This window comes from Homo sapiens, chromosome 6 (assembly GCF_000001405.40).
Source record: "Homo sapiens chromosome 6, GRCh38.p14 Primary Assembly".
Classification (NCBI taxonomy): Eukaryota; Metazoa; Chordata; class Mammalia; order Primates; family Hominidae; genus Homo; species Homo sapiens.
In genome coordinates this window covers 96,084,697-96,112,630 of record NC_000006.12, presented here as the reverse complement: position 1 = coordinate 96,112,630, position 27,934 = coordinate 96,084,697, and the positions used below count along the sequence as shown (strand labels likewise).

Below are 27,934 nucleotides of genomic sequence, written 5' to 3'. Positions count from 1 at the left end.
ATGTCCCTCAAACACTTGCATTTTTTTTCTTTCCTAAAGCAGTAGATTTTAAAACAAAATTCAATCTGATTTCTTTGTGGATTTCTACATAGCCTTGGACTATGCTTGAAAGAAAAATAATTTAATTTTCCACTGAATTTAGTACCTTTTCACCCTTATATTTTGATATTGGATTCAAACACATTTAAAGATAATACAAGTATGAAGAAATGGATCTGTCTTGTCTTTAAAAAGTCAAATATCACCTAATTGTTCTTTTTCTCAAATGCATAAGACATTGTAAATGAAGAAATTTGTCTATATTTTGTAACATTTGTTTAGTGTTTTTGTGGGTGTGTGTGATTGTCATATAATTATGAAAGCATTATTGTAAGGTAGGTTTTAGTTTCCTCATTTTAAAAGGTTCTGATAACTCAGATAACTGGTACATATTAAGAAGCTGGGAGGTATTGGTAGCCGTGGGTCAAATCCAAACCTGACTTCAAAGTGTCTCCTCTTTCTTATTACAATCTTCACTTGCACATGGCTTCCGGATGTTGTTTGTAAGACTATTCTGCTTAACTATCTACTTTCAATACTATTAGAAGTCCCAATTAGAAAAAATAATAAAATGCTTTATAGAGTAAATGAATTTCTTTGTTGAAACTGTGTATAGCTGTCTTAGGATTGTTAAATGAGTAAAACCACAAACACAATATTGCATATAAAGTATGCAGTGTATTGGTTATAATTCTGCACATAAAAGATCAAAATAATCACTAAATAAAAACTAGAGAAGAGGCATAGACATCCATATATATTGGCTCCCAAACATCTGTCATATATACATATATATATTACTATTTGCTGTCACAACATTTGAATTCATTGTACCAGTGTTTTCTTGTTTTTGTTTTTACCATCCAACATCTGATTCGGTGCTTTCAAAAAGACCTTGGCTGAGAAGTCAGAAAAATCAAGGATTTAGAATTATTTCTAGAATGAGAGCAAATAATGAGGGCCAGGAAGTGGCCTGAGTTCTTTTATCTATTTGGTAACTCAGATTTGTGTGTGTGTGTGTGTGTGTGTGTGTGTGTGTGTGTGTGTGTGTTTCCCAAATCATGGTTATAATTTAATGGCTCAGCATGCTGAATAAATCACACTTAAGTAATTGAGCTACTCTTTTGATTACTTTTGTTGATAATGATTTATTTGAACTTAGTTTTTATTATCTCTATCTCCCTTTTTCTATTATGTATAGGGAGAAAATCATTTTCTCCATTCCCTATATTTGTGTCCAAGCCAGTCAAATAATGATAGTACGTTTTTCTCTTTTGCTTTTCTACATGTCTTTCTGCCTACAATGATAAGGCATCTGCCTGCCGTGGGGTAGAGGTGGGAAAGAGACACTCAATTTCTGTTATTTAAAGCATTATTTTAATGTATAGTTTAACATCAGTCTTTAGAAAGCCCTTCAGTTTCTTCCTCTATATCAAGACCAGGCTTGATGGGTGAGTTTATTATTTGGATGTTTTGCCAAGACCCAGATGCTTAGTAACTTAAAGATGAAACATTAAGATGATTCACTAAGTGTTTTTACTTTTCATCTCAATGTTTGCCAACAAATATAAATGACTGGGTTTGCATGGAATTTTGTATAAAGGAGTTTCAAATCATGTAGAAAGAACAGGCCAAGCACAGTCGCTCATGCCTGTAATCCCAGTACTTTGGGAGGCCCAGGCAGGAGGACCTCTTAAGGGCAGGAGTTCAAGACCAGTTTGGCTAACATAATTAGACCCTGTTTCTACAAAAAATAAATAAATAAATAAATAAATAGGCACATTTGTGCATACCTGTAGTCCCAGCTACTCAGGAAGCTGATGTGGGAAGATTGCTTGAGCCCAGGAGTTTGAGGTTATAGATGATCATGCCACTGCACTCCAGCCTTGGCAACAGAATGATACCCTTAAAAAATGCACAATAGGAAAAAAGCCTTCAGGCATTCTTTTGAGAAATGCCAGAATAGGTGGAGAGAAAGAGCTCAATGGTAGAGAAAAGTGGCTGCCACCGCTCTTGTTTTTTCTTCCCAGCTTGTCGAGGCCAATCCTCTAGGGGATGTATCTTTTGAAATTCTTAATTAAGTTGAGGGGATGCTCAGGGTTTTTGCTTTCAAGTTTTGGAGGACATTACTGTGCTGAGTAATCCCAAGCTAACATGTGGATCCCAAGTAGCAGTCAAGGAGGCCCTGTGGCATGACAGATTCACTTTGCAATCCCAAGTTTCCTTTAGCTATCATGCAATATGGATAATAAGTTGAGGGGGATAAATGGGCCTTCTATGAGCAAAATGGCTCAGCCAAAAACGTTTATGAGGCTCGCAGCTTTAACCAGATGTCAGAAGAGAAAAGTAGTAGAGACTCTGAGGAATCTGAGCACCAAGATCAAGGGCAGGCTGAATTAGCAAGGCCATTAGAAGAGACAGAGCTGAGAAAGAACTGACTGAGAGTTGCCAGCACCTGATGGAAAGGCCCACTGAAGAGAAGCAGCCAGAAAAGGAAGATTTCATGAAGGAGGTCATGTATGAGTTGAAGACAATGACTCAGCCTTATATTCAAGATCTAGCATTACAAGGAGAGTAGACACAAAGTGCAAAGTCCCACGACAGTAACAAGCACTGCATGTTCAAACAAAAAAGAAAAACACCCCAGTATACCTGTAGCTATAGTTCCCCTCACACCCATAGTGCTCTGGGTGTGAGGGGAAGGGTAAGACAGCCAGGCAGCAGCAGGTCTTGATGGGCCTCAAAGGCCATTGTAAAGAGTTAGACTTTATAGTGCAATGGATACGAGAAGGTTTTGGCTTGGAACTAGCATGATCTGAATACAATTTTAAATGATCACTTCAACTGTTCTGTTGACAATAGAGGGGCAAGCCTGGAAGCAGTAGCCAGTTCAAAGGCTATTACTGTCCTTGAATTGAGAGACAATGGTGGTTGTTAGGTTTGGTGGAAATAAGTGTTTGGATTTGCAATACATTTGATATATTTGAATAAAGTATTAAATCCAATTCATTAGTATGGTCATTTCACAAACACAAATGCATCATTGAGTCATCATTTTTGAATCATTGTTGAGTAATTTTTTTGTAGAGAAGGGTCAGTTTAAATAATAAAATATAGATCTTTATGCAAGATACTTTAGTAAATTTGGGGAAAAATTCACCAAAGATGAAGAATATGGAGACACACTAGTTTTATATAATTGTTTTCAGTTGCTGTTGAATTAAAGTTAGTGCAAATGATTAAGAAAAACACTATACAATCTATAAATATAAAAGAACAAAGAAATGACCAAATGGAGCATTATTTATTTAAAAAGAAGCTTCAGAGAACTCTGAATGGTGTTGTTAGAAACACCTCAGATATATTGAAAACTGAATTCCATTAATAGAAGCAAGCTTCTTAATTCAGCTGACCAGATGACATTAAAGGACATTGAATTTTGAAAAATAATGACAAGTACTATGTGCTGTTTATGATAATAAGTGAGCATTGCTGCCAAAAGAGGTCATGGAGCCAAATCCTGTGGCTATACTTTAAGTAGAATTTTATGAAATCAAAATTTTATGACTGGTCTTTAAGCTTTTTTTAATTCAACATACATTTTCTAAATGTCTTCTATGTAACAGAGAGTTGGTAGGGGTTATGGCCATAAGGGTTCCTAACACTCTCTCTCTGCCCTTGAAATCTTCACAATCTAGAAGTGGAAGGGGAAAAAGAGAAATGAACTGTGTGTGTACAAATGAACTGTGTGTGTACAAATGAACGGTGTGTGTGTGTCTGGCTTCGGGTACAATGTAGTGGCATTCTATTTTGCAAGGTGGAAGCTTAATGGAAAATAGGTTATGCAAAGTGAATACTGAATAACGACAAGGCACTTCAGCATGAGCAAAGATAAGCATAACAAGGATAATGTCATTTTAGGACTAATATCATATTGGCCTCTGTGGAACAGAGTGGTAGAGAGTGTAATGGAAGACATGCACAAGGCAGTGAAGGTGAGCTGGAGAACCCCTGGGTCATGCTGAGAGCTTGATTCTCATTAACGCTAATAATAATAACACGTAGTGATAAAAGAGTGTTCACTATATACAGGCACAATTTTAAGGGTTCTATACATATATGTTCTCATTCAGTCCTGTCAACGAGCTTATGAAGTAGTACTATTCCAGTTTTAGAGATGAGAAATGTGATGCACAGAGAGGTTAAGCAATTTGTCCAAGGTCATTCAGCTTGTAAGTGGTACAGCTGGACTGGAACCCAGACAGATTGATTCCAGAGTCTCATTCTTGGTGTGATGTGTCTGCCTCTTGCATACAACATGGGATGATTTGGCTCTAAATAATTTCTTTTTCATAAATGTACATGGAAAAGAAAATTTTCCCCTCACAGTCCAAAAAATGTTGGTTGGCTCTTTACATTAGGTAGAAATATGAATAAGAATCCTAGACTGAAAAGAACAAAGCCAAGTGAGAATGAATGAGAAGAAGGGAGGGAAATAATGGACATTTCTTAAGCTTTTTATTGTGGAACAAATTCTGAGCTAGATGATTTAAAGGTCATCTCCCCAGGTCCATAGCTTTGCAATATCTGACAAAAAAAAAAAAAAAGTGGCCATGAGAGACGTGCATGATTTGTACTTACTTCTACAGCTCTTGTTTATTTTCATTATCTGAAATCTTTCAAGGGTTGTGCTTTCTTCTTATTCCTTCTCTCTCACTTAGCTCACTTGAATGATCTGTCTTGACTCTATAGTTAAAGTGAATAGGATGTAGATCCTCGTGAGTTGAACAGGGTTGGATGTTCTGTAGAAGGCTAGCCTTGAATGATATAGTCTGTTCTACATGCTGAGTTGCTGGAGGCGACAGAATTAGTAACACTTAGGACCATTGACAAACATCAATGTCTTAAGAACTTAAAATACACTTATGCTTGGAATACAGATTAGTAATGGTTATAATAGATGTTTGACATAGATTTGTCCAAATTTATACATATACTTTATCGATAGAAATATTTTCAACATGTATTTCGGGGAAGGGAAAGCTGCTTTGTTCTTTTAAAACTTGCACACTTCAGGACAAATTCTTGAGCTTCTTCTCCTGAGCTTTAAGCAGTACTAGAAATCTCCTTGTACATTCTTCCTAAAGCATCTATTTTATTCAAAGATTGGAGAAAATGAAATTTGTTCTAAAATAGAGAGACAGTATATCGTAAATAAAATGCAGAATGTACATATATTTTTAAAGACTTATTTAATCAAAACATTTATGGAATCCCTATTATGTTAGGTGCTGTTGTGGTTGTTGGGGCTAAGGCTGTTGTTCCTACACATTTATGGTTGTCTTATGCTGGGGGTTAGAAAATAAAATATGCAAGTTTTAAGACATGTATGAATAATTTTTTATGGAATACGGTGGATGCATATTTTGCCTTCAGATGCTGGAGAAAATAAATCATGAATGTTTTCATTTAGACCAGAGGTTAGCAAAGCTATGCCCTAGAGATCCATATGGTAAACATTTTAGGCATTGTAGGCCAGGAGGCAAATTCAAAGATGTCCTATAGGTACGCATATATTATACAATTTATGTTGCATCAGCTTCACTCTGCTTTTGTAATATGAAGGCAGACATACATAAAGTGCTGTAGTTTACCAAATTCTGGTTTAAACCAAAATGAATTTTTTTATTTTTTAATTTCACTGAGACATATGTCTGAAAAATGGTTTGATACTTTGTGTCTTTCAATCAAATCAATCAAGTTTAAGCACTCCATCTCTTCATTTCTCTAGCTCTAAGGGGGTCTTGGAATAATTAAACCGATGAATGATAAGCCATGACTTTTCTTGTAACAGGCCTGGGAGAGACAGACCAGTCAGTAGCCTGGGAGCTTCTGATGGATAGAATAAGGTTTGGGTTAAGTTCTGCATGTTGCTTCCAAAGACTGCAATGCACTTCATACTTATTCAGATGGTGTTTTAATTCCTCATCTTACATGTTAAAATCCTCCCAGGAAGAAGGATCTGAAGATAGGAGATAAGAGGTAAAGTCAGCCAAAGATTGTATAACAGTCACACCCACCAAGAAGTACATGCCTCTTGGAACTGGGATTGGGAAAGTAGGCCAGGGTCAGACAGTTGGTGACACTTCATACCCCTTTATTAATTTTTTGTCTATGGCAATAACAAGAAAAAAATTGAATACTTCCTTTTAAAAGCACATATTTTTAAGAGTGTTAAATGACGTCAAGATAAGATAAAGCAGGGTTTTGATATGCTGTTGCTCTTCTCCCAATAACCCTCCCTCCCAATTCTTCTGACAAAAATAGAGGAAGCATTAAGAAGATGAAGGAAGGAAGGAAGGAAGGAAGGAAGGAAGGGTTGATGGATTGTGATGATTTATCTTGGGCTCATTCTCATTGACATAGCTCCATACATGCTGCCTGCTATCTTCAGTCAGGCTCCCAGAACTCCAGAACTCTAGGGGTAGTAAGAGGCAGTTCAGGCTTTCTCTCTTTCCTGACCCCTGGATGACTTCTTCTACAAGAAGCTGACATTCATTGAACAGGTTATCCCAATGTACTACAAAGTCTAGAGATCACTAATGTCAGAAAAGTTAGGATACACTGGTTTGTTCTCTTTAACACTGGGTTCTTAAAATTTAATAGGCATAAGAATCATCTAATGGCTTATTAGAAACAGATATTTATGAAGTATATTTCCAGAGATGCTGATAATAGGTACGGGTAAGATCCTGAATTTCCATATCTAACAATGTTCCTAATTTTTAGAGGAATTTGTTGCAGATGTTTGGGAATCATGCTGTGAAAAATAACAGATCAGCTCCAGAGTGTTCAAAACAACTGAATAAAAAAACTATAGAAACTTATCATTATTTAAATAACTGTTAAAACTCTTCTTGAGTATAAATTAACTGCATGAAAAATAATTCTATCACTATAAATTTTAATTAGAAAACTTAAGACACAGCTTTTCATTTAGACAAAAGGCTCTTGGGAAATCAATAATCAAATGATAAAATTTAGCATAGTATGTATTTTGTAATCAACAAAGAAGACATACTAGTCCTAGCAAAAATATTAAATAGCTATTTTATGCTATGGCAATTGAATTTAGAATAATATGATTTTTATTTTAAAGGTGTGCTTACACTGATGAGGGATTTTTAAAAATCAAAATGCCTTGTTAAATTCTCCTCAAACAATGAATGTTCTGGGAAAGAAAAAGAGTCCACTCCAATTTTAACTGCAATTTCTATATTAAATACAATAGTTTGAGCTATGTGTTAATAATACATGGTTTACAAATAAACTGAGTTATTAAAAATGAAATACATTATATTGTTCAGAACATAAGGCAATTTACCACAAAGCAGTACTCTGACTCACTGCATACAAAGAAATGCATTTTGTTTTAAAACAGATTTATCTCCTTTTGAATCATTTTAAAACTTGAATTTCAGGATTTTAATAGCCTAAATAAAAGTACCACATTCTTCTGAACTTATTCCTTAGAGGCGTGAGCATTCCACCACTATGAATAAATCTGACTCTAAGTAAGCACGGAAGAACCCAGATTGCCTGATACGAAGCCTCGAGATGACTCTTTATCTTTGTTCTTATTTGTTCTTCTAATAAACACTTAGAATGTATTTTGGAAAAAATAAAATCTGTACCTGCCAAAAAATCTGTACCTGCCTTCTATTTTGTGTAGAAAACTACACAAAATAATTTACACTTGTGTGGCCAGGCGCGGTGGCTCATGCCTGTAATCCCAGCACTTTGGGAGGCTGAGGCGGGTAGATCACGAGGTCAGGAATTCAAGATCAGCCTGGGCAAGATGGTGAAACTCCGTCTCTACTGAAAACACAAAAAATGTGCCGGGCGTGATGGCAGGCGCCTGTAATCCCAGCTACTCGGGAGGCTGAGGCAGGAGAATGGCATGAACCTGGAAAGCGGAGATTGCGGTGAGCCGAGATCACACCACTGCACTCCAGCCTGGGCGACAGGGCGAGACTCCGTCTCAAACAAACAAACAAAACAAAAAAAATAATTTACACTTGGGTAGTTTTCTACTGCCAACATTTTTCATCAATGTCCTTCATATATTTTATATCTATCCTTCATATATGGACCATGTATGGCAAATATGCAGATCTAAATTCATCTTAACATGGGAAAATTAAAATAAAGTATCAAGCCATTTTTCATATAATTTGGTCAAATAATATTAAAATATTTACTCTAAAAGTGAAAACATTACTAAAGAAAAAGGAAATAACATACACAACCTAAATTTTCTGCTTAAGTATCCTTTTCATTTCGTAGCTGATCTACTCTGGCAAATGGGTAGAGAAATATAACCTTGGCCTTGAGTTTACTGAAGGTGGAAAGTTGAAAGCTCTGGATAGAAAGCAGTTACTAGGAATGCTCTTACCCTTAACAGTGTGTACATTATTCAGTACATTTGTGTTATAAACTTCTTTAGAAAGGCAGTGTTATTCTGACTTTTATGTAAATTGATTTAATCAGATAATGTGGTTGTCCTTCTAAACACTTAGCTGAGATTAGCCGCCTGTTGTGCATTGAATTATGGCACCCCTAAAAGACATGTTGAAGTCTTAACCCCTGGTACCTGTGAATGGGACCTTATTGGGAAATACATCATTTGCCAGTGCAATCAAGTTAAGATGGATCCACCAATTAACTTTATTATAGTAATTATTTTACTATGTATATGTATATCAAAAGCATGCTGTATATCTTATTTATACAATTTTCATCCATCAAATATACGTCAATAAAGAAAAGATGGAAAGAAAAAGATGAAAATCACACTGGACAGGGTTAGGCCCTAAATCCAATGACTGGTGATATGAGAGAGCTTTGGAGACACACAGACTCACAGAAAGAAGTCTATTAAAGAAGAAACAGAGATTGTAGTTAAGCTGCCACAAACCAAGAAACTTGCTAGCAACCACCAGAAGATAGAGGGAGCAAGAAATGATTCTTTTTGGAGCCATCGGAGAAAGCCTGACACTATCGACACCTTCAGTTTGGACTTCTAGCCTCCAGAATTGTGAAAGAATAAATGTTTGTTGTTTGAAGCCACCCAGTTTGTGGTTATTTATTATGGCAGCCTTAGGAAATTAACACACTCCTCATAGATTTAACTTTAATTTGGGTAAGGAGAGTAGTTGAGGTAACGGTGGGATGCTGTAGTGTTGAGTTCTTGAATATAAAGAAGGCAGAATAAGAATTCTGTTCACCTGAGAGATGGAAATTTAGGACAAAGAGGAAGAAGGAAAGTGTCTAGAAAATACATACATATGCATATACACACACGCGCGTATATGTTTGTGTGTGTGTATTTGCCCTGACTGAACTTAAAATCATCTTAAATAATGCTGTCACATGATAATATTGTTGAAATATGCACTGGTCTCCTCCCCTACTCCCCATTCAAGCATTTGGCCATTCCTTATTCACTTAGCTGATGCTGAAGTCCTGAAAGTCTATTTCTGACTGCTATTTTCCCATAGCCCAAGACCAAGGAAGTCTGGACCTGCCTACCACTCTCTTGGCTTTGTACAGTCTGCTTTAGTCACTCTAGCCTTCTGTCAGCTCTTCAAAGTTCTCTCCTGTTTCCATATGTAATGTCTATTGGCACAGCATGTCACACATTCCAGTGTAGCATGATGCATGAGAGGAAACTAAGTTTAAACTATTCTCTCTGGTATAATGGGAAGATGTTTTCTTTTCAAATTTGGTATACAGGGGTAAAACACGCAATTTCTACATGATATTTGATGTGGGTATCAAACTCAACTACATCTGGAGCTTAAGATTTTTCAACCTGAAAAAGCTGATTAAAAAAAGAAAATTAAGAAGCTTGAACTTCAAATCCAATGAATCATATGTGATTTTAAGTAAAGTTATAGGCTTAAGGCTGTTTACACATATAACTCTAAGACAAGATGACTGTATTGTAGCAAAATGTGTCTCAAAAGTGAACTCATGGCCCATTTGGGTCAGCTTTGAGAGAAAAAATTTATAACACCTCTTAGAGAAGCACCTGACATGAAAATTTTATTGGCCAAAAAAATTCAAGGCAATTACAGATCCAAGGACTCAAATAAAAGGAAAAGGAAGTAAGAATTAGAAAATTATCTCAGTAAAAACAAAACATAATTATTATTTTAAATTAATGGCAATGACCTAATAATCTTTTTTTTTTAAACTCAGGTAAATTTAGTGCTGTATTTATATGTAAAATTTCTGATATATTGTTCTTACTTGTCATTGTAATAAATATGTTTATAATATATGCCATCTTTTAAATACCTACATCTACATATGAACATTTACATTAGCGCACATAATTTTTAAGAAATAAACAACGATCTCTCAATAACATTGTTACCTACTTCCATATAAAGATGTGATATTAGAAAGTTTATATCTGCATACAATTGTCATGACAAATCAGGAAAGTTTTATTGTGTTTTATTGAAATAACCTCTGATTATTTTTTGAGACTTTACACACATATTTTTACACACACGTGCATACATATCCATATGTGATATCAAATGAAATAAGTAACTATTAAATATATCTTCATATATAAACATATTCTAATAATCATAGGATAAAATGATATAAATTCCTGGTGACATTGACCAGGTAGAAAGGGAGAATATGAGCCTGTGCAGCATAGCAAGACCTTGTCTCTAGTAAAAAAAAAAAAAAAATAGCTGGGCGTGGTGGTGCATACCTGTCATTCCAGCTACTGAGGAGGCTGAGATGGGAGGATAGCTGGAGCCCAAGAGGTCAAGGTTGCAGTGAGCTGTGATTGCACCACTGCACTCCAGCCTGGGCAACATAATGAAATCTTGTCTCCAGAATTGGAGTATGTAAAAGAATGAAGATTTCCCCGCCTCCTCAAGGAGGAAACTTGTGACCTCCTTAATGAAATAATTGAACATGAGGGTAAAATGTACATTTTTATGTTCTTTTTTTTTTAAGACAGTTTCACTCTTGTTTGCCCAGGCTGGAGTGCAGTAGTGCCATCTCAGCTCACTGCAGCCTTCACCTCCCAGGTTCAGGTGATTCTCCTGCCTCAGCCTCCTGAGTAGCTGGGATTACAGGCACCCCCCAGCCCCCACAACACATCTGGCTAAGTTTTTGTATTTTTAGTAGAGATGGGGTTTCATCATGTTGGCCAGGCTGGTCTTGAACTCCTGACCTCAGGTGATCCACCCACCTTGGCCTCCCAAAGTGCTGGGATTATGGGCATGAGCCACCGCACCTGGCCCATTTTTATGTTCTTAATATTTTTTTCCCTCAAACATTATTCTTGAAGATATTTTAGTAAAACAAGACACCCACACAAACATGCCCACACATATATATTTGCATGAACTGAAAAAGATTACTTAGGCATTTTAAATTTAGAATTCTTTGCAGAATTAAGAACACTTAGGTTAAAAATATTAAGTAGTAGTTACATAACGAGATATGAAGTATCTAGTTTTGTTTAATAATTCACACTTGATTACACATGTATGCAATGTACTAAGTAGAAATCTTGATGCCGTCTTTAATCCTGATGCCTCCTAAACTTCCATTTTCATTCAAACACTAAGTCCTAATTCTAACTTTTAATGTATCTTTCCCTTCCTTTTAATACATTGTCACAGCCAAGAGTATCTTCACATATATTAGGAAAACTACAGATTTTACAACGGTGTGTTGTCACAAATGATAACTTTCTAAAACATAGACACTCAGGTTTAACTCAACCCATTCCAAAGGTCAAACTGTTCAGTAGTACCTCACTACCTGACAACTTAACATGGAAAAGAAAGGGGGTTCTTCAAATTCTAACCTGCGTCTTCACTTCTTGGCTTATCGATCATCACTCCTCACCATACCTCAGTCATACAGCTCTGTTCTCCATTTCCCAAAATTGTAAATTTCTTTAGCTATCTCCAGAGTTCTTGTCCATATTTTGGCTTTTGATTAATATCTCTATTAAAACATGTGAAATTCTTCTAATCATCTAAGACAAAAGTGAAATCTTTCTCACTTTATAAAGTTTCATCTTTAAATCCTCTGTACTCCCATAGATAATTTCATATTGACATCAAAGTATTTCCTTTACTTTACCTTGTACTATAATGAATGAATTCTCAAATTTCTGTTTTCTCATTAGATTGTGAGATTTTTGAGGACATTGACTGTTTTATTTATGTTGTAACTTTGGAGCCTAGAACAGCATTTTAAATATTATATGTGTGTGTGTGTGTGTGTGTGTGTGTGTGTGTGTGTGTGTGTGTGTTGGTGTGTGTGTGTGTTAAATTCCAAGTAATAATTCCTTTGAGGACACTTTTTGATAATTTTAAGAAATGGTGTGAAATGAAAATCATGGTCAACCTCTAGTAAGACCATTGCTATTGCAAATGTTCCTTCTGATTTCCCTTGGGTATGTTATTTTCCATGTAAATCTTAATGAATAATACCCCTTTGGTACTGGATCACAAACAAATCGAATCAATTCTCACCCAATGTTAGCATTTGCAAAATGAACTAATAAATACAAGAGGATTCATTGCCATTCCATTGACCTTTTTGTTGCAGACTGCATAAAAATCTCAAGAGCTAGCTTAAAGTTCAATTAATAAAGATTGCACATAATGTACAAGGTTATTTTGTTCTCCATACATTGAGTTTTTCAGTCTGTGGTAGAAACTAATTACTCAACCTCTGTGCAGGAACACTGGATATTTTATCGATGAGTGTCTCCTTATAGAAATCTGGCTTTGGAAAAAAATTGATGAGTGTCTGGCCATCAAAAGGCAGGCATAAAATGATGACATTTTATATTCTAAATACACTAATAAATTTATTACTATCAGGCAAGCAGCAGAAAGTCTGAAGTAAATTTTATATAGAAGATTGCATAAATATTCAGGAACACTGTGATTTTGTGGCATTTTATCATTTTCATATAATTTTAAAGGAGACACTCCAAGTATGAGGTCTATGAATGGAAACATTGGCAACTATTTTTCTGAAGTGTTAATGAGATACTGTTTCTGACCTTTTAAAAAGAAATACAAAAGGTTACATATAAAGGAGGAAAACAGAAATAATCATAATAGCATGTACAGTTTTAGCATAAAAGGAGGAAAACAGAAATAATCAGAATAGCATGTACAGTTTTAGCTTAAGAAGGATAAAAATGTCTTTCTGTTATAAAATCAAGTCACACATTCCATATGTGCATAAAGTTAAAATAGTAAGAATGTTGTAAGTGAGGCACAAAGAAATGAAATGGCTCCTCTGTTCTCCCAAATTGTTGTGAATCATCTTTAGTGATTTGCTTCCTAGAATAAGTCCAGAGAAAATTGTGAACTTTATACAGATTTTCACATCCTAAGGTAAAATATGAGACTCCTATTATTTACTCATCTGTTTGACAAATATTTATTAACTATTACACATAAGGTTCTGATAATACAGAGATAAAGGATGCACAGATTAATTCTTCAAGGACTTCACAGTACTTGAGAAGACAGATGCAAAAGAAAATTAGGGTACATTTTGGTAAAGACTATGACAGAGACATGCACAAAATTTTATGAGAGCACAAAGGAGGTGTATACAACAGTATCTCAGGGAAAAGTTACAGTAACAGACAGTACCATGCCTCATCTAAATCCCCTGGATTTCAACAGCACATTTGAAATTTCCTAAGATTTCCTTGTGGATAGGATGAATAAATGTGGGTTGAATAGTTAAGCAGTTTGTTGAATCTGTAGGTGATAGATCTTTCCTACCAAACAGTATTGATTAATGGCTCACTGTAAAACTGCAGGAGGTCCCTGGCTTCTATTATTCTTAAAGTAATTTTTAATGAACTATTTGATGACACATAAGACATATTGAATACATTTGGGAATGACTCTAACTGGGACAACTATGTTATGTAATTTCCAAAGAGCTTCACAGGCTAGAACAGTGGCTGAAACTGACAATGGAATTTAATGGTAAAAATATGGAGTTAAATTTAAAAGTCCACTAGGGCAATAGAATGATAGAAGGAGCTAGCTATAGTCTTTTAGGTGAAAAGAATCTAGAGTTTTAGCTAAATGAAAGATCACTGTGGATCGTGAGTGATTAAAGAAATGTTGCCTGGAACATTACTTGAATCTTAAACTACAACAATAACTCTGTATTTGAGTTTGGGGGAATGTGGCAGTAGTTTGACTTTCTCCAAAATCAAGAACATTGAGTGTCAGAGGAGGGAGATCCAGAAGTTATAGGTTCTGAAAATCATGCTTTATAAAAAGTAGTTGACAAAATTGGAGGTGTTTAGGGAAAGAGAAGATCTAAGAAGCAACTAAAATAACTATTCATTCCATCCATTTATTCAATCTGCAAGTCTTATTTTTTTTTCTTTGTTTTCTTTTTTTAAGTGTCAGTATGTCAGACACATGCTGGGAATAGGCAATAACTTAGACAAATAGCCTGACCCTAGAATCCTCTACTTCAAGTGCAGAGTTCTTAACCTGGAGCCTGTTGGTTGGGGTGGGAGCAAGGGTGGCACGGTATTTTGAAGGTCTGTGCTCCTCTGGAAATTGTATGCATATTTTTTTGTATCTTTGCCTTTTTATATGAAGGTGACTTTCTTAAAATAAATGATGATTTAAAAATATTTAAGAAGGACTTGTCTAGTGGAAAAATTATGTATATTCACAGACACATAATGATAAAATACAAAGTGAATATACATTATGTGGGTTACTATACTTAGGAGGAAATTTGAGCCGTATTTTTTATTATCCCATAGGGAAGACAGAGAGCTCTATCTAAATAGAGCTCATGGAGTAAGAAATTGAACTATGTCCTATATCAAAGATTTTATTTGTTATTGTTTGTTTTTGTAATGTTCATTGAAAGTTATCGATCAACAGTTTTTACGTTTTCACCTTATCTACAGCATCTGTATGCTAAAAGATGCCTCAGACTATAATATCTACCTCATACATTTTACTCATGAATTCATTCACTCATACAACAATATATATATTTTTAACTATCTTCTTTGCAGTGCTTTTCAGGTACATATTTAATAAACCCTGACTTGTTTGCTAATTTCCATGGTGTAAATATTCTCAGTAAGGCCAATTCCAAGCTACCTACATATGTCGCAAAAAGCAGGATTGGAAGAGAGCACACAACCCACTCTTCTGAGCTTGGGGAGCTGGCTCCAGCACACCGCTGCTGCTGTGATTCCCACACTATATTAGGTGCCAGGGTTATAAAGACGACTAAAACTGCTCCTTTTCTCAGGGAAATCCCTTCTAGTGAGAAGAAGAGTATGCATTTGGCTATTCTATTATTATCTTCTATGAATTACATATTCCTTCAGTATGTGTAGCCTAGATGCTGACCTGTGTCTTCTAATTCTGTGCTTTGACTTTGGATCCCTTGGGTAAATTTTGGATAGTCGTGGAAAATGATTTGTCTCTGTGAGCTTCACTTTCTTTATCCCTTATGGGAAGGAATTCATTCTATGACTGTTGCTTAAGTGCCTAATATGTGCTGGGTGCTCTAACACCAGAGATATTCAGTGAACAGATGAAATAAAAATTCCTCCCCTCATTGAGCTTATGTTCTGGAAGGAAGAGTTGAAAAAACAAGAAACGAATAAAAACCATATTGTGCTAGATCATTTTGAGCTCCAGTGAAAAAAGTAAGGAGAAAAAGGGGCTGGGGTAGAGTGGAGTTGCAATTTTCAATAGAGTAGGCAAAGGCCTTGGGAAGGTGAATTTTAAGTAAAGATCTGAAAGAATAAGACACACACACACACACACACACATGCCTTAGACACTAACACACTAGACAGAGGAATGGCAAGCACAAGGAGGCTGAGAGAAAACCATGTCTAGATTCCCACAGGACCTGTGAGGGGACCAGAGCAGTGAGAGTGGACTTAAAGAAGTGAAACTTGTAGACAAGATTAGATAGATTAAGGGAGTGATGGGACAGATTAGGTAAATTCTTATAAACCTGTGTAAGAACTCCAGATTTTAATCAGTGAGGTAAAAAGTCACAGAAGCCTAGAAGCAGAGGAGAGATATGAGCTGACTTATATTTTAAAATAACCACTCTGCTATGTTGAATATAGTCCACAGAAAGGCAGTAAACTAGTACAATTATTGAGATGAGGGATCCTGGGGGGTTGGATTAGAATGATTGAGGTGAGAAGTAGCAAGATTCTGGAAAACTTCAATTCAGAACAATCTAGATTTGACAGATGGATTGATGGTCTGAGAGAAAGGAATCAAGGAAGCATCCGAGTCTTTTTGCATCTGCAACTGGATGTAGTTGCCATTTACTAAGCTTGCCTGGTTTAAGAGTGATGATAAGACTTTCCATTCTATATATAATAAATTTGAGATATATATTAGACTTCCAAGTAGAGACATTGTATAGGTAGTTGGATATATGATTCACAAGTTTGTAGCAGAAATCCCAGCTAGATAGGTTTTATGAGTCATTAGATTATAGGTAATATCAGCAAAAACATATATTGCTGGACATTATGCTCTTTACAAACATCACATCATGTAATATGACAACAGTTCTATGACTGAGGTACTGCTATAATCCCTATTTTTACCGATGAGGTAAAAGAGAGGTAGACATAGAAAGGTAGAGATAGATCGCTAGCCCATGGTTACACATCTAACAAACTAGTTGAGCTGTAATTCAAAGCCAGACAGCCTGGTGCAAAGGTCTGTCCTCTTAGCCATAATGCCCAACATGAAATTTGATGAAATCACCAATGGAATTACTGGCCAAAGGCTGGGGCAGGACAACATATAGAAATTGTAAAGATGAGAAGAACCGGCAAAGTAAACCATAAAAAAAATTGCCAGTGATGTACAAAGCAAACCAGAAATGACAGCATCCTGAAAGAAAAGTGAAGAATGGGTTTGAACTTCTAAAAAGGGACTAACTTTGTCAAATGCTGCTGATAATTTAAATAAATGAGGACTGATACTTTGTCTGAATTCATTAATGTAGCAGCTGTTGGTATGTTAGACAGGAAAAGCTATGGTGAATGGTGGGGCAAGCCTAGTTGAATGTATTCAAGCGAAAGTTGAGGAAAGGAGTCAATCAGGCAATGTAATCATCTCCATAGAGGAGTTTCCTGGAAAGAGAATCTGAGAACTGATATGTGAACTGGAGGGAAATTAGATAATAATAAGTAATTATTGTAAGTATTAAGAAATGAGATTTGCAATGTTTAGAGCTGGGTTTAAACATAGGAGATGCTCTTTAAAGGTGAGGGATCATTCACATTATTTTATGAAATTATAGCTCATTAGTGCTTATTCTGTATATATGGGCATGTGATTGAAGGGTTAATAGATGGCTTCACAGATGATGTGACATTTAAACTAGTGTGTAAATAAGAATTTACCACATATCACGAAGAGGACGTAGGTGTTCCAGGCCAAAAGAAGAGCCTGAGCAGAAGCATGAGGTGAGAAAGGACATGGAGTGCTATCAAAATTGTGCTACACTTTGGGTACCGTGTACACTGCTCAGGAGATGGGTGCACCAAAATCTCAGAAATCACCGCTAAAGAATTTATTCATGTAACCAAACACCACCTGTTCCCCAAAAACCTATTGAAATAACAACAACAATGACAACAACAAAAACTTGTCTTCCTAGGACACAGGTTTGCATTAGAAAAAAAAATGAAGAAAAAAACTTTGTAGTTCCCTCTAGCCTGGAAGTTTCCAAGAATAGCTTCCCTATTCAGGTATGTTTTTAGAAGTGCTGGGTTAAGCAATAAAAAAGCTATTTCTTTATTAAAAAACATTGTCAGAACTTTTTGAGTACAGTAGTTTCTACTTATCCATGAGAGATACATTCCAAGACCCCAATGGATTCCTGAAACCACTGATAGTACCAACCCAATATATGCTCTGCATGAATTACTTTTTCCTTCTTCACAATTTCATGGATAGCAGAGTCATTCTCATCATAGGTTGCAACCTCAGCATACGATTTTTTAAATTTCCTTATTTAGTACAGAACTTTCACTTTTTCATTAAAGAAAGTGCTTTATGTGTTCTCTTTGCCATATCCAAATAGCCAGCATCCTTGTGCTTTGGGGCCATTATTAAGTAAAAGAAAGGTTACTTGAACATAAGCACTGAGATACTGTGACAAGGTCTGATAACCAAGCCAGCTAGCTACAAAATGACCAACACAGCATGAATACACTAGACAAAGGGATGGCATGAGATTTCATCATGCTACTCAGAACAGCACACAATTTAAAACCTGTGAGTTGTTTATTTCTGGAATTTTTCATGTAATCTTTTCAGATCACTGAGGACCACAGGTAACTGAAACCACAAATAAGGGAGGACTATTGAATATGACATGCAGCGTATCCAAAACTTGTTTGATTTTGGAATCTTTCACAGAGCAGCATCAAATTTGAAGAAACACTGACTTAGATTAAAACATGACATATACATTCCAGCCTCATTAATTTCAGCAAAACTTTCATATCCTTGGCTCGCAATGCACCAAATTAGGGTTCAGTAGTCATACAGATGTGGATTTTATTTTTGACTCTGCTGCTGTATAACCTGGGGAAAGTTTTTCAACTCCTCTGTCCCTTAATTTATTCATTTGTAAACATTGTAACAGTAATGTATACCTTCCTCTGAAGGACTATTACACAGATGAAGATGGTGTGTGTAAGGTTCTTGGTAATATTTTAAAAGTTCATTTTGTGTGTGTATGTGGATCCATATTCATGCAATAACTTTGAGGCCATTTTTATGCCTGGAAAAGTGATGATTATTTGCTCATAAATAATATGGGCATGGAGAAATACATATTTAAATTCTAATTTTTGTTGCAGGGATATTTTCTGTTAAATATTCTACTTCTTAATACAATTTAATTTATTAACTCTTCAATGTAATTTCTTAACATATGTTGATATATATTGCCAAGATTAGCATATCCCTTTCCTCTGGTCTTAAATGCTTCAATGCCCATACTTCTAGAGGATACTGTCAATCATAGTATCTATATCCTGTCACTCAGGTAGAGATGCCCAAACCACATCAAACTGCATTAGTCACAGGGAAAAGATAAATGAAAGTGTGGAATTATCAAGAGAAAGCTATTTCAACAGGATCATGATCAAAATAAGAGAATCCTATGAAAGAAACGACTTTGCCAATTCATTCACCAATTTAGTAAATATTTGGTAGGCACCTTTAATGTGTCAAGAACTGTGCAAGGTACTAGGGGTATGATGCTTAGCAAAATAGATGCCATATCTGATTTTATGTGGGGAGAACAAGCCTAATGGGAGGATAGATACTAATCACAAAACCTCATAAGTCAATGAGAAATAACAACTGAAATAGTGCTCTCAAAGGAAGGAATAGAGGCTGGGTAAGGTGGCTCATGCCTGTAATTTCAATACTTTAGGAGGCCAAGGCAGGAGGATTGCTTGAGCCCAGGACTTTGAGACCAGCCTGGGAAACATAGCAAGACTCTGTCTCTATGATTTTTTTAAAATTTTTTAATTAGCCAGGCATGGTGGCATGCACCTGAAGTCCTAACTACTCAGGAGGTTGAGGTGGGAGGATTGTTTTAGCCCAGGAGGTTGAGCTGTGATTGTGCCACTGCATTCCAGTCTGGGAGACAGAGCAAGACCCTGTTTCCAAAAAAAGAAAAGGGAAAGAATGGTATGAAATGTTATAAAGAAAAATGACGGAATTTGACCTCGCATCTCCTGAATATGGGATGAGAGCTGAAAGATAAGTTATTTAAGAGGAAGAATAGAGCTAAAATACTCCAGAAAGAGGAAATGACATATGCAAAGTCTCGATTGTGAGTTGTGACAAGACACATTCAAGTGTATGAATGAAGAAGTCAGGTGAAGCTGGAGCAGACAGCTAGAAGAAGTATAATATTTGACCATTCTAGAAATGTCAGCAAAAATCAGATGATGCAGATTCCTAGAGTCTGTAGTAAAGAATCTGATATTAATCTTAGGAGTTATAGGAAGCCATTATAATATTTTATTTAGGGAATATACTCTCAACATTCTTTTTTAATATACTTGTTGTGAATATATCTATCAGAATACATAATATAGATTTTTCTTTATTTTTGAATTTCACACAAGTGTATCATAGGATAAGTATCATTCTCCAATTGACTGGTGCACTCAGTATTATGTTTCAGGGATATTCCCATAAAGATTTATACAGCTCTAATTCATTCATTTTACCTGCTGTTTAGATCGATATTGTCAAAATATTCTGGAAATTTTCGTTGATTACAAGGTTTTTCTCTAATCTATTAATCTGATAAATAGATCAATCAATTTTTTACTGTTAAAGTATTATTGTCCATTTGGGATACACCCTACTTTGTCATAGTATACTATTTTTAATTGCACTATTGGTTGTAATTTGACAATATTTTATCAAATATCATTTTTGTATCTATGTTGATAGTAGTATACTAAAATTTGAATTTCTCAAACTGTCCTGATCTAATAGAGTTTCAAGATTATGCTCACATTATAAAATTAGTATGGAAACTTTATTTCTGAAAATATTTTCTCGCTCAAAATCCTTAAAGATTCAATAAAACTTGCTTGTAATACCATCTGGACTTGGCAAAGCCCCTCCTTACCAACTTTTTAAATGGAAAATTTCCAAATTGATGAGGAGATTGCAGCAGTATTGCAAAGATCACCTACAAACCCTTCAACTAGTTTCAATTGTTAACATTTTGCCACAGATTTGTGCTCTCACTCTCTCTCTTTCTCACTCAGTCCGTTTCTCTCCTTAACTATCTGAAAATACATTGCAAGTATTATGACATTTCTCAGCTATATATTTCAAAATGTTCTTAGAAAAAGGGCATTCCTCTACCTGACTGCAATACCATTGTCATACCCATAAAGGCAATGATAATTGCATATCACATAATATGGGGCTCATATGCAATATTTTCACTTGTGTCTAAGATAAAACTGATTTCTTTTATGATCCAAGATATGATAATGAAGATTCATGCGTTGTTATTGACTCATTAGTCTTCTTTAATACAGAAGGGTCCCAATGAATTTATGAGTTCTTCCTTCCTTTGGTTTCTGAAAAATTGAATTTTTAGAAAATAATATTCTAATTTATTTTGTAAAATATTTCAAATTCAGTATTTAACCTTCTCATGGTTAAATTTAGGTTAAACATTTATGGGAAGAATACGTAAATAACGCTTTGAACTATTTGGTTTTTTATTTGCATGAGAGTCAAATAATGTCAGGCTCTCCTTCAGTTGGTGAAGTTACATCACTTGCTTAAGAAAGTGATCTATAAGATGTCAGTGTACATATTTCCCATTGCAATTAAAAAGTAATCTGCAGGGTGATATTTGAGATGGGGTAAATAGCCTCCTCCCCACCAGAATATATTCTCAATGGCTTTAACATTTATTGATGATTCTTGCCTGAATCAATTACTATTGCATTAGATATTACAAATTTCTTCTACTTTTGTTAGCGGCATTCAAATTTTAAATGCTTCCCTTTCTCTCATACTTTCCCTTTGTTTGTGTAATCCTATGGACTCCTGCATTTATTTTAATTCAATATCTTATAATAAATTAACATCTTTTTACTTTAGGTGTTTAAATTACATACAAATATGACCAATGAGTGTGTCTGTTGGGGTGTGTATGACTATTATTGTAGTAACTTTTTTTTAATAATTGTCTATTTCATACTGTCTCTGTGATTTAAAGTTGATCTGTTATGACTATAGTTGCATCGCTTTTTCATTCTTAATATTGTTTATTTTGCTTTTCCTTTTCCTTTCTGCTCAATCTTACCAGAGATGTGTATCTTTTACTTAGCATCAGTTTTTGTCTTGATGATCATGTCAAATATATGTTTTATTTTAGTTTTTAAATTTCAGTTTTATTTTACTATATAAATAGTAAAATTTGAGTTGATATAATTATGAGTTGATATAATTATTTCCTGTTGCTTATAAAATTGAACACTTTCATCTACTTTTAAAATATATAAATTGTAGTCTATAAGTATTGTTTTAACTACATCAAGAATTTTTTTCAAAAATTAATATCTCACAAAAAATATTTTAAATCTCTACTGTGATTTCTTCCTTAATTCATAAACAATTGACTTTACAAATTTATTTCCAAAAGTACTTTTTTATTGACTGTGTTCAGAAAAAGTATATACAAGATGCTAATTTTTGAAATTTATTGATACTATCTTTTTGGTTCATCCCCCAAAAAATTGTATGTATCTTTCATATACACATGCTTGAAAATAATGTTAACTCTTTCTTATGGGCCGTAAGCACTCTATATGTCCATTGGTACTTGTATTGTTCAAACTTATTAATTTGGGGGGTTTTTCATAATTTTATAGAAGTGTGTTAAAATCTCCTCATATCTTTGTATTTTTGTCAAGTCTTCCTATAATACAACCATGTTTTCAGGTTCTTTTCAGAATTATACAGGCTTATGTTTGATTTATTGTCCTAGTGCATTGTTCTTTCTGTGATTACCAAATATTCGTCATTATACATAAAAATTATTTCTACCTTAAACTGTACTTACCTTGCACTAATAATGCAATGCCATATGGGTATTGTGGATTTAGAGGCCACACTTTTATAGCTTAAAAGCGCTGTTATGATTCCTTTTTTCTCCACTCATAGCCTGGTTACTTCTTTGTGTTGGTAGGGCAGTATTTCAATACAAGTTATTGGATAGAAAGGCGTTCATGCCTCCTGTCAATATGCTGAAAGCTTAGTTCAGCTCCCCATCTTACTCTGGGGTGAGATCGATGTATACTGTTAGTAACTCAGATTATTGTTGTACTTTTTGGTCACAATGCAGGAATATGGATCAGATCTACCTTCTAGCTGTGACAATAACAAGAAGAAGTAGGAAAGCAAATACATCAAACAACAATTTTAAAGGTTGGTTGTCTGGCAGCACACGTTCTTTGAGAAAGGAGATGCAAACAAGCCCTATAACTTCCCCAGATTCCTGACAGGTTGGAGATTTTAGGCTGCAGCTCAGGGAAAGGGACACCAGGTGGAGCCTGATTGCCTGCCAGAGTTGAGAAGACAAATGTTAGGAACTCAAGGAGGCTAGCAGGGTAGAATTCTCAGGGGAAAGTATCCAGATAGTTCCACAGTAAGTCTCTAGATATATGCAGAAGAATCTCCTTGGCTATTTAGCTGAGTATTAATCAGCAAATGTGTGTATGAAAACTAACCATGATGAAACAAAACTACCAAAATGAAGAAAAGGAGCAACCCTTCAGATCTCACATATGGCCAGGAATAGTTATAGTTTGTATTCCGATCAAAGAGAGTAAACAATTCTCATAATTCATGGAACATCAAGAAGAGTATGTAGAAGAGTAATGGGATCAAAATTAATCCTTGAATTAAGGCTGCTCTGATTTTACCTAATAAAACCAAAAACAGTCCTCAAAAGGAAATGGTCAAAGCTGTTTATAAGTAACTTAGCTGTGCCCAATAACAAAGCTAAAAAATTTTAGAGATACACAAAAATAACCAGGATCCATCAAGGTAAAATTCACAATATATGACATTCATTTAAAAAATAGCCAGTCATGCAAGGAATTGGAAAAATAAGCAGTTAAGCAATACTTAGATATAGACTACAAGAAGGTAGCAAAAGGTCTGGGACATGAAGAGTATTTTTGAAAGACTCATTTTCAATTCTAAATATAAAACTATAATTTATGAAATTAAGAAATACAATAAATGAAATTAACCACATATTAGACCCTGCAGAGACAGACTAGTGAAACTGATGATAATACAATAGAAACTATCCAATATGGAGCACGCGCGCGCACGCACACACACACACACACACACACACACACACACACACAAAACAAACAAACAGAGAATCATACAGCTATGGGGAAATGTCAAACCACATACAGGTAATAATAGGAGTCCTAAAAATTGGGAGAAAGAAGACAAAAGTGTTTAAATAAACAAAAGTTTAAAATTGTTCAAATTTGATGAAAGCTATAAATTTAAAGAACCAAGAAGTTCAGTAAACTCCAAGCACAAGAAGCATTAGGAAACTATACCACAGCATATCATAATAAAATTGCTTTAAAAATGAAATAAGAACATTTTATTTTTTTATTTTATATTTATATTTTTTATGTTTTATTATACTTTAAGTTCTAGGGTACATGTGCACAACGTGGAGGTTTGTTACATAGCTATACATGTGCCTTGTTGGTTTGCTGCATCCATCAACTTGTCATTTACATTAGATATTTCTCAAAGCAGCCAAAGAAGAAGACATATTATGTAATATAGGAAATAAAGATAAGAATGACAGCATATTTCTCATCAGAAACAATGGAAGCCAAACGACAGCAGGGAAACATCATTAAAGTACTGAAAAACAGAATTGCATAGCCAGTGAAAATGTCTTTGAAAAATAAAGACTTTCTCAGACACATACAAGAGCTAATAAACATTAGCAGGCCTCTATTACCAGATATGTTAAAGGAAGCCCTTCAGAAGAAATGATCCTTGTGGAAACATGGATCTATGCCAAAGAGTGATAAGCACTGGAAATGGTAAACATGTGGTTAAAAGCAGAAAAAGTGTTTTCTCTATATCAGAACATTTACTGTTTAGAGCAAAACTAAAAACTATATTATGGGGTTTACAACTTCTACGTAACATATTTAGAGGTAAAATGTATGATAATAGCACAAAGATTTGTGGGGAAGGCCGGACGTGGTGGCTCACGCATGTAATTCCAGCACTTTGGGAGGCCGAGGTGGGCGGATCATGAGGTCAAGAGATCGAGACCATCCTGACCAACATGGTGAAACCCCGTCTCTACTAAAACTACAAAAATTAGCTGGGCATTGTGGCACGCGCCTGTAGTCCTAGCTACTCAGGAGGCTGAGGCAGGATAATTGCTTGAACCCAGGAGGCAGAGGTTGCAGTGAGCTGAGATCATGCCACTGCACTCCAGCCTGGTAACAGAGTGAGAGTCTGTCTCAAAAAAAAAAAAAAAAAAAAAAATTTGTGGGGAAAATATAAACCTACTGTTGCAGTGTTTGCATGACATATGTAGAGTGCTATGTTACTTGGAGGTAGACTATGATAAGTTAAAAATATACACCACAAATCTGAAAGCAACACCAACAAATAACTTTAGGTAATAAGCCAATAATAGAGATAAAAGAGATAACAAAAATATTCCAATAATCCAAAATAAGGCAACTCTTGAATTTCCTTTTTGGCTCTGTAAGAATGTCATTTTCTTTATCTAAAAACCAGGTCTAGATTTTTAAAAACAAGTACAACAGGAAGAACAAAAGCTAAGAACTGGTCTTCACCCATATGCGTAACGTTTGTCTCCTTGCTGATCCCCATGTGTTGAGATGGCATGTGTTCCACTGACTATATAGGAGGCACAGGTGCTAACCGAAAATTGGCAGGCTGCACACTCCTGAATTGCAGGAAACCTATTCTCTGTGACAGCAGGGTCCTGATATCATCCTGTGCCTTTTAATACCTTAGTTCAGACAGTATCTTCCTTTAGTGTGAGGACAAAAAAGAGAGGCCAAGCAGTGGAAAATATTAACTAACTGAGAAAATGCAAAGGTGCATGGTAGATAATGAGTTCTTAGTTAAGATTAAGGATTACACACAAAGGCAAGAACTCTGTGGTCAAAGCCAGATTTTTGATATGAAGAAAAAAATAAACTTGGGTTCCTATTTCATATTGATTACAAAATTAAAGTCCAGTATATTCCTGATTATGAAAGGGAAAATCATACAGCTAATGGAAGAAAATATAGGAGAATATCTTTGTGACTTTAAGAAGGAAAATACAGGAGAATATCTTTGTGACTTTAAGATGGGGAAGTATTTCTTAAGCATTACATATAGTATAATTTAAAGATGAGAAATGAGTTGATTCACTATATCAAAATTAAGAATTTCTGGTAAAAGACAAAGTTAATGAATAGGGGACAAACTGAAGGAAAATAACTGCTAGGTGTAAAGCTGACAACAAATTGATAAGCAGGAAAAATAAACCAAAGCTTTGAATCAGAAATTAAAAGAAAGGTAGACTGCATAGCTAGCAAATATGTGGATATAAATGCAAACGGAAGGAACACTGCACATGTCAAATTTCAAAATTGGAAATCTGAAAACACAAAGTGTTGGCAATAAAGTGTGTAGACAGGTACATTTATGCGGTCTGGAGAAAAGTCTGGTTAGTGTTAACGTGAATATGTGCAGCCTGTGATTCAGAGTACTCTATGCCTTGGTTTACCCAGGCTCTGGTTCATGATGTTGTCATGGCATAATTATTAATAATACCCTCTTCCATTCTTAAAATTAGTTTAGTGTGGAGGATAAATTATACAATTGTCCTACTGATGAATAAGTAATTTTACATCCAATTTTCACAGAGAAACTTTCATATAGGCCCACAAGAGGATATTTACCAATAAACATAACAATGTTGTTTGTGTCAGTTGGAAAGCTGGGTATCCATTTCCAGAGGAACGACTAAATAATACTTGAGGGATGCAAGGCATGAACTACTATAAAGCAATTAGAAGCAATGAAGTAGAGTACATTGTGGAGATAGAATTAATTTATAACTATGCTGAAAAACTCTATATTTCCAGGGCATTGAGTGTTTGCATTTGACCCTTGGCCAAGATAAGGGAAGTTGAATTTATGATGTGTTGAGAACCTCCAGGGTAAGTTTTTTTCCTTATGACTGCATCTAGTCCACTGGGGTTTGACAAACCTGGCTTGTTTATTTAGCCAAAAAGACAAAGAAAGGCTTCCCAGGGAACTTATATTTTGCCATAGTTTGAATGTTTGTGTCCTCCAAAAATGTTGAAATCCTAAACTTCAAGATAATGGTATTAGAAGGTGCGGTCTTGGAAAGGTGATTAGATTGTGAGTGCTCTACGCTTGGGAATATCATTAGTGCCCTTATAAAAGAGACCACAAAGAGCTAGCTAGTCTCTTTCACCATGCAAGGACGCAGTTAGAAGCTGCCATCTATGAGGGAAGAGGGCCCTTATAGATTATAGACATCAACTCTGCTGGCATCTTGATCTAGAAATTCTTAGCCTCCTGAACCATAAGAAATACATTCTTATTGTTTATAAGCTACACAGTATGCTATTTTGTTGTAGCAGCCCAAATGGACTAAGACATCCTTTGAGCTATGCCAGAAATAGTGCCCTGTACATGGCATATCTTTGGAATCTCTAATGTTTGCTTATACACTTTTTCTTTTGCTGTACTGTATTTTTAAAAAAATTTAAATAAAAGCCTTATGCGAATATGTTCTGTGGAGCCTGATAAGTCCTTTCAAATAGTCAAACTGGGAAATACATACATTTAGCAATGTGGATAGAAATTATTCAGTAAAACAAGAAACTGAACAAAACAATACTTTATGACACTTGGTGCATCATAATATCCTTTATATAAAATAATTAAATAATAGACACACACGAAACATAGTATATTTTGCAAGGGTTATATATATAAACAGGGATGTATATCAAACATTAGAGTAAATGTCTGTGGAGAGTGAAGACATACAAATGGGAATCAGTAATGAGAAGTTGGGACTGAAGACCATAGTGTGCTAAGTAATGCAACTATCAGTATCCAAGGCTTCAAAATAATTTCTATTTCTAATTTGT

The 27,934-nt window shown here is 35.1% G+C and overlaps 1 protein-coding gene across 6 annotated transcripts in view; it reads right to left on the bottom strand.

Annotated features, from left to right (window-relative positions):
• The window catches only part of FUT9 (fucosyltransferase 9), a 199,639-nt gene that overhangs the window by 102,982 nt on the left and 68,723 nt on the right, over window positions 1–27,934 (bottom strand). Inside the window, exons 1-2 of one of the 6 annotated variants that reach the window (XM_017010188.2) lie at window positions 4,681–12,351; window positions 1,833–1,944 (exon numbers count right to left, since the gene is read on the bottom strand). The exons of 4 other annotated variants lie outside the window; for them this stretch is intronic. The gene's annotated coding sequence lies outside the window, so the exon portion shown is untranslated. Of the gene's footprint in view, window positions 1–1,832; window positions 12,352–27,934 lie in introns of those variants that run through there. One more of the 6 variants, XM_011535385.3, reaches the window with a different exon arrangement.